We start from the raw sequence: 12,519 nt of genomic DNA, 5'->3' as shown, positions 1-12,519 counted from the left end.
AGATAGATAGACAGACAGACAGACAGACAGATAGATAGACAGACAGACAGATAGATGATAGACAGATCATGATGCCCAGGCACTGGCCAGGACCAGTTGCATCTGATCTCTGCCAGTGGAGCTGGCATCAGTATTTTTTCAATGCACAGCCAGGGCCAAGAAGCTCTGGCCCAGTTTTCTCACTCACCCATTCCTTTCTTCAGGACCCAAGATCAGCTCCTTGTCAGCCACCAAATGGTTAATACAACTGGGTTCAGTGGGCTCCGGGGCAGCCCCTGCAGTGACCTTCACAAGGAGAGGCAAAGGAATGGTGAGACCCTGGTCGTGACTTGTCAGTAGGGATACTGGCTTGAAGCAAAGTCGATGACGACAGCAAAGCAGTTGTTTTTGAGCCCATACTGAGTGCTGGGCACCGTGCTGAGCACTTGACATGCATGGTGTCTCCTTTCATCCTCATTTTAACCCTCGAGGTGGCACTGTTAGGAAAGCAACTTTAGTGATGAGAGCACTGAGGCTTAGAGGGGTTAACAGCTGTCCATGGTCACATGGATCCTATGTGGCAGAAGATTTCACCTATGGCCCCATGGCGGGGACACATTCATCACCTCACCTCCCTGAGTGTAACCTTATCGTAGTCAAGCAGAGGGCACAGGGAAACCCAGCCCAGAAGGCGGGAGCCAGGTCCAGCTTTGAAGTAGCTCTGGCGGAGCAGGAAGAGCTCATGCTCAGCTAACAGTCAGGTGTGGGTCCATGCCCGTGCTCTGAATCACTCCTGGCTGCTGGCTTTCAGCAAATGGCAGCAGAATAAAGCAAGCTCACAGAACGGTGACCCATTCGGATGGCAAGGGCCCGACCCCAGAGACCTTAACAATTCTATTACACAGACTCAGGCAGAGATTAAGCTGTAGAGTCTCCTCCCCATCAGTCTGTCATGCTTGCCCCACGGAAAGTTGCATGTAATGTGTCCATGTGTGTATGCAGGGAGCTGTCCAAGGTCACTCACCAGTTACAGATAGAAATCTATCTGTAGTCTCAGGAAGTGCAGTGCTACTTTTCTTAAAATGTGGCACTGCGGGAACTTTTGGCCAAGCACAGGTTCTCCCCTGGGTAAACAACCCTCCTGGTCCGATTCGGTCCCTGGACTGTTGGCCTGGATCAGCCTAATGGCTGCATGGTAGATGTGGTGGCTTGGCACTCAGTATTCTTTCCACCCTCCTTCCAGTGGATTGTCCTGTACCATAGAGTCAAGAAGACCCAAAAGTACATTTCTCAGATGCCCTGGCAGGTAAAATGTGGTTTGGGTCCAGCCAATCAGATGCACTTGAGTAAGTGCTTTTGGATGTTAAGGTGAGGCAGGGGCCGCGCTGCCTCTGCTTTGCTCCTTCGGCTTGTGCAGAGGTATCTGCAGAAGTCCCAGTAGGTCAAGAAGCAGCGCCCTGGGCATCATTGTTTTACTGTTGTGAATCTCGCTGGTGACTGCTTCTGGATTCCCCTACTTCCCTGATTGTGGCAGAGGCGGGGGCTCTTCTGGCCGGCCAATTCTCCAGTGTTGTTCTGGGTGTCATTTTTGGAGACCTAGCTGAGACCCTGCTTCTCTCACCCCTCTATGATTCTGTAAGCGCCTAGTCCCCTGTCTTAAATCCCTTTTTTTCCTTAAACAACTAAAGTTACTTCTATTATCTGCAGTTAAATGAACTGTGATTCATATAGGTGTGCTCTCACCAACTTACCTGACCTCAAGTGTGGGACCCAGATGAATAAGGGGAGACAGCACTGCACTGAACCAGTAGCCAGAGATGAAGACTTCTGCGTCTAGCCCACAGGAGCACCTCAGTGAGTCACTTGCCTCACTTGAGCCTCTGTCTCCACATCTGTGCAGTGAAGACAGCCATGCAGCCCATACTCATAGGGCTGTCAGCAAACACTCACTGGACCAGGTCCTTCAGATGCTTAGTCTGAGGGAGGAGAGGGGCTGCAAATAGGGAAATGGTCCTGGCAGATGATTCTGCCGTACAGTGGGTCACAGAGGAGGCACAGGTTCTGCACTCCGAGAAGCATTCTAGCAGAAGTCAGCACTGACAGGCTAAGGGAGGTACGGTGGGAGAACCAACCAGAGCAAAGACCTAAATGTGTCTTTGGTCTTGCGAATTTGGGAAATGGTAAAGTGGAGGGCAAGATGAGGGCTGTGCTGCATCGGGAAGTGTCTCAGGAGGGCAGGGCCAGGCTGGGAACTCAGGCTTTCTCCTGAGGGTTTCAGGAGCAACAGTGGCACCAGGCCAACTCCACACCTACCAGCCTCCCAGCTCGTGCCTCTTCACAGCCATTGTACCCAATTTACTAGGTGTTTCAACATCCACAGCCAACCTGTGAGGTGGAAAAGCAAGTCCTGTTTGTCCCATTTTACAGATGAGGACGCTGAGGCTCAGAGGTAGGAAGCTGATCCAAGGTCACACAGGGGGCACATGGTGGGGAAGGAAGCGGGCCAGGCTGGCCCTCCCCGATACTCAGACCCGCTCTTCTCCACCAAGCCCTTGTCAGTTCTGCAGTGCCCAGTTCTTGGGGAGGAGCTGGACAGGCTGATGGAGCAACTGCTCTCACCCAGTTGGCTTCTGGCACACAGAGAGCTGAGTTCAAGGCTGAAGAAAGGGCCTGGGCTTCTGAACAAAGACCCGAAGGCCTGGAGTGAGAGCAGTGGAGGCTCTACCCACTCCCGACCCCAAAGTCCTGCCAGTCTTGGGATTTTAGGAAAAATGACATGGGACCTACAGGTAGAAGGCTGATCCTAACTCTGTCACTGACCCTGGGGAGGGCTCCCACCTTACTGAGTCTCAGCTTGCTTGTCAGGAAAATGGGGATAATAAACCTTGCTTTTGTTACTTTCAAGGTTTTTGGAGAGACAAAAGTGATAGGAGAAGGGACACAGAAGCCCCTGGTCACCCAGGAGACCCAGTTGTCTGGGGTCTTCTCTTGAGGCCTGGGGCAAGAGGGGTGGGGGCACAGTTTTCTCTCCTGCCCCTTGGTTCCCATCTCTAATTGGTGCCCCCTTCCCCCTCTGCCCAGCCTGTAGGGCAGCTCCCTGACATCTCTTTCCTGTCTTTGTCTTTGTCCTTCCTCGGGTCCCTTCTCTGAAGAATCAGGGGTGGGACTGGGGGCCATGGATGCAGAGACAGTGGGAGGAAAGACCTTCAGCAGCCAAGACTCCCTCCTGCTCTCTGGAAGGCAGAACCTGAGACCCCCACGAGCTAGGTTTGGTCACAATCTCGCGTGGCCAAGGTGCTCACCCTTTTGTTTCTAGCATCTTAACACAGTGCAGTCACCGCTGCCATCCCACCATCAGCTCTGTGACAAGTTCCATCCCATTAACTCCTCCATATCACCATGGCAACACTGGCTCCCGACTCTCCCAAAGATAGGAGATAGGCACGCCACCAACACCAGGGTGGGACTGCGCTCCATCCACAGCTACGCAGGGATGGGCAGAGACCTCAATGCATTCACAGTGATGGCAGCCACATTGCCTGAGCTCCTACTCTGCATCCGGCACAGCCCCTGCCTCCAGAAACAACCCCTCACCCAAGATACCCATGGCCACTGAGTGTGTTTGTTAGCACAGGGCTTTCAGCTTATTTTAGGTTAAGTTTCTCTATGACCACTTGCCCGCCCTTTCTCTGCCTGGCACTGAAATCTAAGCAGGCGCAAGGCAGACCTGGAGTTTATCTAGTAATTGTACACAACAGTTGTACATTCGTATTTTCTCACGATTCCCCAGTGTAAACCTCTAAAGTATATGGGGTGGCTCCCCTCACTTTATAGAAGAAATGAAAGCCTGAAGAGGTTAACATATCCAGGGTCACATTGCCATTAGGTGGAAGACTATTTGAATTCAGGGCTGTTTTTTACTTGGTATAGTTAGCATTTATGTAGTTCTTCTAATATGCCAGGCACTGTCTATCCTTGATGCATATTAACTCTTTTAATCCTCATATCAACCCTATGAGGTACGTACTATCAATAGCTCCACCTTACAAATGAGGAAACGGAAGCCCAGACAGGTCAGGTAGATTGCCCAGAGTCACACAGAAAGAGACGGAGCATGGACTCAAGACCAGGCAGTCTGGCTCCTGAGTTTGTGTCCAGAACCACAATACTATGCTTGATTATAATTCTAGGGCTCCTCACTCCCAGCCGCACCCCATCCCACCCTGAAGTCAAGAAATTGACCACCTGGCCATCTCTCCAACAGCCACGCCTGGCTCTCACTGAACTGGCTGGCCTCTCTCTCAAAAGAACTAACTGGCTAGTTTTGAGGATTTTATCTCCCCAACCAGTCTGCTGCATTCTTTTCCAATTTCCCTAGCTCTCAAAGTGATCTCGCATTTCCACTCATCGCACTGGGCTTTAAAATGCTCCCATTTGGAACAACAGCCGAGAATTGTCTTCCTTCAGAGAGAAGAGCCTTCCAATGCCCTCACAAGGGAAGTCCCTCTTGTCCTCCCACACTCAGCCTGTCTACAAAGACCATTAATGCAATCACTTAACAAGAGACTGGCTCTAATAGAAAGAAAGAAAGAGGAGGAGCATTGTTAGTGGTTTGAAGGGGAGAAGAAATCATAAAATCCATTAAACCTGTATTTGTCTCATTAAAAGTGTTTCTAATTTATAATGTCCTGGAATGCAGATGCCACCCAGCTGTGTGGGCCTGGTAGTACTGCCTGGCATACCCCCCCACACACACTCCTGGGCCCCCTCTCCCACCTCGCTGGGACTGCCATCAATTTCTGCTCATCAGCAGCACTTACAGTAAATGGATTCATTTGTGGCAATGGGAGCTGAGAGACAAAGGTGACAATATAATTAAGGTTTTTAATTCTATGCCTGAACAGTTAAGTCCAGAACTCATGATAATTAGCGGGCTGTAATGAAAGATCTTTAATCGTTATTTTCCCTTTGTTTCCTATAATTGTTCATTTTGGCCAACTACATTTGTCCTTTCATTTGAATCTGGCTGCACAGTTCTATGTCACTTTCATTATTCCTGTAAACTCTAAAGAAAATATGTTGTGGAGCTGGTCATTTACAAAGTCGGTGGCGAGATGGCCTAGGGAGCTCAACCATGCACATCTGCTGATGGGGGCCGTGGCTACTTTCTGGAGGAGAGGAAAACTGGGCTTCAGAAATCCACAGGACTGGGGATGTGTCTACAGAAAAGCAAGACTCACAGGAGAATGAGAAAGCAACAAGCCCTTCACAGCTAAATGGGCCACACAAGTTGGTTTGCAAACTGGTTCTTAGAGAGATGATTGTTACTACACAAGTTCTCGATTCTCAAATGTATGCATTGTTTTTTCACATGTTGGTGTTCCTGTTAGAATGTATCTTATAATTGGTGTGTATATTTAATGTCATGTCTATCTTTTGTATGTCCTGCAAAGTTGTCGATGAATTGACAGTGTTTCCTACAGTTGATGGCACGTTAGAATTGATAAATCATGATGAAGGTACCATCCAAACAACAAGTAACTTATTGAGGACCTGCTACATCCCTGCTCTCATGGTCTGTACAGCCTGGAGGACCATCAACTCAGCCTCCTCTCCAATCACTGCTGGGTGGCCAGACAGGACATTTTTCACTTGCTATGAACTGCTTGAACCCTGATTCAACTATGGATTCAGAGAGTCAGATTTCTTACAGGCAAGTGCCTCTCAGGAACCAGAAAATGGAAGCAAGAAGGCTGGAGGCTTCTAGCAAGGAAATGGCAGAACCCAGCCCAGGACTGGAGAATGGTTCAGCTGGGAAAATTGGGATTGTGATAGAAAAAGGAAAACCACTCTGGGACAGGTTATAGGGAATGCACTGGGATATGCGGGACACCTGGGCAGACCTATGTGGCTTGTGAGACATCCCATGCATTCCCCCCTCCCTCCACTCCTTCTCTCAGTCCTGAAAGTCGTTTGCCCAAGGCCACACACAAGCTCATATATTTCTGGAGAGGATTAGGGATAATCTGTGCCTCTTCTGATGTACTGCCCTTCAACTCAAGGTTCTGGGTGTTGCCTCATCTCAAATTGCCTCTAATTGCCATAAAGAGGAAAATTCAGCCACCTCAACAGAAATCTTCTTGCTCTTCCCCAAGTTGTTCTACACACAAAGTCAGAGTAATTATTTGAAAATCACATGGTGCTTCCCTGTAAAAATATTCAGTGGCTTCCCAGTATCCCGAGAAAAAAACCATCTAAACTCCTATTATAAAAACATTCGAAGGAGTTCTGCACGGCCTGCTCTCCTCTGCTCTTACCTCGGACCTCCCCGTCTAGCCTGGCTGCTTCGCCCTACATGCAGCACACTCATCTCAGCTTTGGGGACTTCTCTCATGTTGTTCCCTCAGCGTGGAGACTTCTCCAACTGCCAATAGTGCCCTGCTCTCTAGTTCAGCTCAAATGTCACTTTCCCAGTATTGCTACCTGAATTATGCCCCATTATTTTGTTTCTTGACACACTTATTCAATGTGTAATTATAGAAGAGACTGCGGGTTTGTTTACTGTGTTTCCACCCATAGATGGTGAGGCCCATGAGGAGAGGGTCTGAAGGTGTTTCCTCAGAGCCCAGACCATTCACATAGATCACCGTGTATCTTCAAGTCTGCATTCTGAAAGCTCCCGTGTCACTAAAAGTATGACAAAATAAATGCATTATGGGAAAGAAACAGAAAGGAAGAGAAGGGAAGAGAAGAGAAGGAAAAAAGGAAGGAAGGAAGGAGGGAGGGAGGGAGGGAAGGAAGGAAGGAAGGAAGGAAGGAAGGAAGGAAGGGAGGGAGGGAGGGAGGGAGGGAAAGAAAAAGCAAAAAAGAGCGTAGACCAGCGCCTGGTACAGGAAGCACTGAATCCATTTTGTTAAACCAGAGCTAACCCTTGAAGGCCTCTTTCTAGATGAAAAGGAACCTGCCAGGCGCGGTGGCTCATGCCAGCACTTTGGGAGACCCAGACGGGTGGATCACCTGAGGTCAGGAGTTCGAGACCAGCCTGGCCAACATGGTGAAACCCGTCTCTACTAAAAATGCAAAAATTAGCTGGGCGTGGTGGCGGGCGCCTGTAATCCCAGCTACTCGGGAGGCTGAGGCAGGAGAGTCGCTTGAACCCGGGAGGTGGAGGTTGCAGTGAGCCGAGATCACGCCACTGCACTCCAGCCTGGGAGTCAACACTGAAACTCCGTCTCGAAAAAAAGAGGAACCTGAGGCAATGGAGACCCCCTGAAGGATGAGGTCTGGGGTTGTCACACAGGAAAGCAGCGGATGAAGGCGCAGCCCAGAGCCCTTCGGGGGCCTCTCAGGCCACCAAGCAGCCCGGGAGTCCCGACAGTTCGCCTCTGGGGCCTCAGTGTTAGGGACGGGGAGAGGCGGGGCTTCCTCCGCGGGGGCGGTGCCTCGGCCCAGTTCCAGGGGCGGGCTCTTCCTCAGGGAGCTTCCTCATTGGCTACCCACTCGCCCAATGAAGTTCCACCTCTCGGAGGTAGACGCTCTACCCAAGTGGGCCCCTCTCTATGGTCCCACTTCCTCCCGCCCAGAGTCTCCGGGGAACCACAACACGTTACCCATGGGCACCTGTGAAGCTGAGGCAACCTTCTGGACCCCAGCGCACGCTCTCGGCCAGCTGTCTTCCTGCTCGAGCCCCTTATGCACAGGAAGTCTCACTCCTCGCCGAAGAGCAGGTTCATCTATTAATTCAGTCAACCAACACGCAACACCTGCTGTGTGCCAGGCTTTGTGCAGGCGCTGGGGGCATAGGAGGTGATCCGGTTTCTTTCTGTGCATTCTCTCTTACTCTCTTAGAACCATCTCAGACACAGCCTGGGCTTAGTGACCTCCACGTGTGGGACATTCTTGTTTGCTCAGACGTCCCTCCTGGAGATCTCCAGTCCTCCTGGATGCTTGTCCCACAGTCCCCCTCCAGCACGACATGAGTCATTCGTTTATTTACTCAAAAAATATTTAGCGATCACCTACTAGAAGCCGACACTGTTGTAGGTTCTGGGGATGGCGCTGTGAACACGGCAGATGGAATTCGTACTCTCTTATATGCTGATTGAGCAAAGACAAGAAACAAATAATAGATGAATGTGATTGTTTGCCATGCAGTGATCACTGCTGTGAGGAATGAAAGCTGGGCCCCACGGAGGAGACGATGTTTCCGCAGATGGCTCTGGTCGAAGAAACATCAGTTCTCCCCACACCTGTTCCTCCTCTTTCTGTCAGTGGCGTCTCCAGTCTCTCCTGACCAGAAAACCTGGAGTCCCCAGCTCTTCCCCTGTGGACTCCATCCCATGTCCCTCTCGCACCGGCCCACTCCCTGCACGCCTTCCCGTCCTCCCCACCTCGTCTCTTCCCTCCCTTCCTCTTGTCTCATTCCTGTCCCCTTCTAACTCATCTTCGCCCGCCGCTGCCAGGGTCGCCTCCCATCCATAGCTGCTTAAAGACCTGCGGTGGTGACCAGGTGCTCTCGACAGAAATTGCATAATTCCAGCTTGATAATCAGTGTCCTCCACAATCTTGTCCTAGCTAGCCCCCCAATCTTATCCTTCATGACAATGTTTTGCACCCCCAGCATGGGGACTTGGCGGTATGTTCACAGCGTTTACCTCCTCTGACCCCCTGCTCGCCGCTAGTTTCCTCCTCCTGAAGGCCCTCCTCCACCCTTGGTGGCTAAGTGCCGGCGCCACCTGCCACCTGCGCCACCTGCCACCTGCCACCTCCTCCTCCGAAATTCCTTCCCTCACACGCGCACACACACATCACACACACCACAGCACACACACACCACACACACACACCACTCACACACACCACTCACACCACACACACACCACAGCACACACACATCACACACACCACAGCACACACCACTCACAGCATACACACCACAGCACACACACCACTCACACACATCACACACACCACAGCACACACCACTCACACCACACACACCACAGCACACACCACAGCACACACACACACCACTCACACGCACCACTCACACACCATTCACGCACCACGCACACACCACAGCACACAGACACATCACACATACCACTCACACACACCACACACACCACAGCACACATACATTACACACGCCACTCACACACCACAGCACACACCACTCACACACCACACACAGCACACACACATCACATACACCACATACACCACACAAACACACCACACACAAACCACTCACACCACAACACACACATACCACACACACCACAGCACACACACACCACACACACACCACACACACCACAACCACTCACCACACACACCACTCACACACCACAGCACACACACAACTCACACACACCACAGCACACATGCACTACATGCACCACTCACACGCACAAAACAGACACACCCCACTCACACACACCACCTACACTACAGCACACACCATTCACACACACCACAGACACCATTCACACACACACAACTCACGCACATCACACAGACCACATACACAACCACACACATCACACACACACACACCACATACACCACAACACACACACCACATAAACACACTACACACCACACACACACACATCACTCACACATGCCACTCACACCATACACCACTCACAATACACATACCACATACACCACACCACACACAAACATCACACGCAAAGACAACACACACATTACTCACCACACATACACCACATCATACATGCACACGCACCACACATACACATGCACCACACATATGCCACGTCACACACATCATACACAAATACACCCCCCACACCCCACACAAACACCCCACACAACTGTACACACCACACAGCTGTCGTCGTGGTCCTCCTTCCTCCAAGGCCCTCAGCGCCTTACCTGCCCCTCTCTTGACCCAGCAGTTGCTGAGCTGCTTCAGGACAACAGCATTTCCCAGCACATGTGGCCCCCTGAGGCAGTGCCACAGAAGGGAGTGACTGAGTGCGTGTTCACCCTGTGACCTTAGACTATTTAAGCCCTCTCTGCCTCCGTTTCCCTATGTGTAAAATGAGGACCAACTAGGTGGATATACATCAGTACTTAAAACAATGATTGACAGTCCTACTGACTGTGATGGTGACCGTAACTAGTCCTGGGTAGAGGAGTCAGAACGACGGTGCGGAAGCAGATGCCAGCTCAGATCTCAGGGAGGGCCTCGGGGTCGATCCACCCCAGGTCAGCCTAAGTCAGTCTCTCCCAGGTCTCCCCTCCTGCCTGACAGGCTGGTAGGACCCGGGAGGATACCCAGCTGGATGCTCTCCTCCCCCCAAAAAAGCTGGGGAGATGCCTATCCTTACATATTACCCACACTCCACGCACACACACACACACCTGCTTCCATCCTGTGACTGAGCCCTGTTCCTCCACTCCCAGCAGCCGCCACCAGGGAAGGTGAGTCCTCAAGGTCACCCGACAGGCGCTGGGCTGCTGGGAACCAGGCATTGTCTTCGGTTGCTGGGGTCCCGAGGGAGCTCCCCAGGCGCCTGGAGAGCTTATGGCCACCCTGACGGGCCATGTGGGGCGAGAGTCAGGCTCTCTCCCTCCCAGGATGGATGGGGTCCATTTGCCAGCACACTGAGAAGTCAGGAGCTCACAGTCACCTTGAGCAAGGCTCTCCTCACCTGAGCAGCGCATCCCTCACTGGAGATGGCAGAAGTGCTCACGTCGCTGCCTGCCCCTGTCTGCATGACACCAGCCTGCCACAAAGAGACTTCAAGGTCCTCTGTAATCCCCACAGAGGAACCCAGGCCTCCCTCCCAGCTCCAGAGGAAACTTTGGGGAGTCCCATTGCCTCCCTATGCCCCCACTTCCCCCCATGTGAAATGGTAGTACACCCCAGCCTGGCTCCCTCCTGCACAGTGTTGCAGGAGACGGGCTAGGGAGAGGGATGGGTGGGGAATGGAGACTACTCTCTCTATGCTCATCTCCCAGGAGGTAGGTGTCAGACCCCCTGAACCTCACCCCCATCTCAGGTGGTCCTACTCCAGGGGACAGAGAGGGAGGGGTTTCAACCCCACAGTTCCCCCAATCCCAGCTTCAAGCTGTTTACCTGCAGCTACTCAGCCAGGTAAACAACAATCCTTTGCAATTTCTTTTTTTTTTTTTTCTTTTTTGAGACAGAGTTTCACTCTTGTTGCCCAGGTTGGAGTACAGTTGCTTGAGCTCAGCTCACTGCCACCTCCGTCTCCCAGGTTCAAGCGACTCTCCTGCCTCAGCCTCCCGAGTAGCTGGGATTACGGGCACCTGCCATCATGCCTGGCTAATTTTTGTATTTTTAGTAGAGACGGAGTTTCACCATGTTGGCCAGGCTGGTCTTGAACTCCTGACCTCAGGTGATCCACCTCAGCCTCCCAAAGTGCTGGGATTACAGGCGTGAGCCACCGCACCCAGCAATCTTTTGCAGTTTCTTCAATGCGTTGATCCCAATGGGAAGACAAGATGATGACAAAGGTCCCAGGAGTGACGTGTAACTGAGCACCTCTGTGTGCCACATGCTTTCCAGGTAAAGCTTGCTAGAATCTCACAGCTGCTGTAGGAGCAGCATCACTATTGCCCCACTTCACAGATAAGAAAACAGAGGCCCAGAGAGGTGACATTATTTCTCCAAGGGCACACAGCTTCTGAATGGTGGGACTGAGATTGAAACCCAGGAGGCTCTGGTTTTGGTGATGATCTCCACTCCCTTGGGCTTGTCCCCTGCCTTCAGGACACTCATTCCAGAAGTCACCTTGGACAGATTCAGGTAAAAGTACCAAGAACCCCAAGCGAAGAGCTGCTCCTCTCATCATAGTCCTAAAGGCAGAAATCGGTTGGGGGTCTCAAATGCGTCGCTTCAGCCCCCTCTCCGGAGCTCGCTCACAACACACAGAATAAACCTAAAACTGGCCTTGGTGTGGGGATGTGGGGGCACAAACACGTATAGAAGTCAAGGCAGGCCCCAGGCTATCCCCTACACTCCCTCACCAAGCAGAGCCACTGCCCTCATTCCCACTGCCACCCGCCCTCTCCTCCCTGGCCTCGCGACCTCCAGTCTGTCTCACTAGACCTGACTTCCTAAAACGGCACTGGGTCATGGCACTGCTCAGCGGCTCCAGAGAAAGTCCAGAATCCTTACCTTGGCACTCAAGGCCCTTAAAATCTCCTGCACGCCCTCTGCCACGCCTCTGGATCCCACTCACCCCATCTCTTTCCTGACGCCAAGGCTTTTGCTGATGCTGTTCCTTCTACCTGGCATGCCTGTCCCCTCTCCGCTGTCACCTTACCGGGATGCCCTGACCTAAGCTGGTGCTATGCAGGCATCCATGGTGCTCTTAGCCCTGCACTTACCACATGACTTGGCTGTTATCTGCCCTGCCACACTTCACTTGCCCCTGCAGATGCAGAGGCTGTGGTTCATCCACCCCCGTGTTCCCAGTGCAGGACAGGGACTGGCCCAGATCAGGAAATGCGTGTGCTTGGAATAAGTGAAGGAAGACA

At 51.9% G+C, this 12,519-nt stretch overlaps 3 annotated features.

The window, feature by feature from the left end:
• Positions 7,591-7,750: an enhancer, noted in NCBI's record as "active region_28356". NCBI's record gives its function as "activates an Ori minimal core promoter by ATAC-STARR-seq in GM12878 lymphoblastoid cells {active_cell/tissue: GM12878}" and the evidence as "EXISTENCE:reporter gene assay evidence [ECO:0000049][PMID:35858748]".
• Positions 8,271-8,789: an enhancer, noted in NCBI's record as "H3K4me1 hESC enhancer chr9:36764829-36765347 (GRCh37/hg19 assembly coordinates)". NCBI's record gives its function as "activates a minimal SCP1, AML or CMV promoter by ChIP-STARR-seq in naive H9 embryonic stem cells {active_cell/tissue: H9 hESC(naive)}" and the evidence as "EXISTENCE:reporter gene assay evidence [ECO:0000049][PMID:30033119]".
• Positions 8,790-9,308: an enhancer, noted in NCBI's record as "H3K4me1 hESC enhancer chr9:36764310-36764828 (GRCh37/hg19 assembly coordinates)". NCBI's record gives its function as "activates a minimal SCP1, AML or CMV promoter by ChIP-STARR-seq in naive H9 embryonic stem cells {active_cell/tissue: H9 hESC(naive)}" and the evidence as "EXISTENCE:reporter gene assay evidence [ECO:0000049][PMID:30033119]".

Source organism: Homo sapiens, chromosome 9, assembly GCF_000001405.40.
Source record: "Homo sapiens chromosome 9, GRCh38.p14 Primary Assembly".
Lineage (NCBI taxonomy): Eukaryota > Metazoa > Chordata > Mammalia > Primates > Hominidae > Homo > Homo sapiens.
Note: the sequence above shows the minus strand (reverse complement) of the source record. Positions and strands in the feature narration are given on the sequence as shown.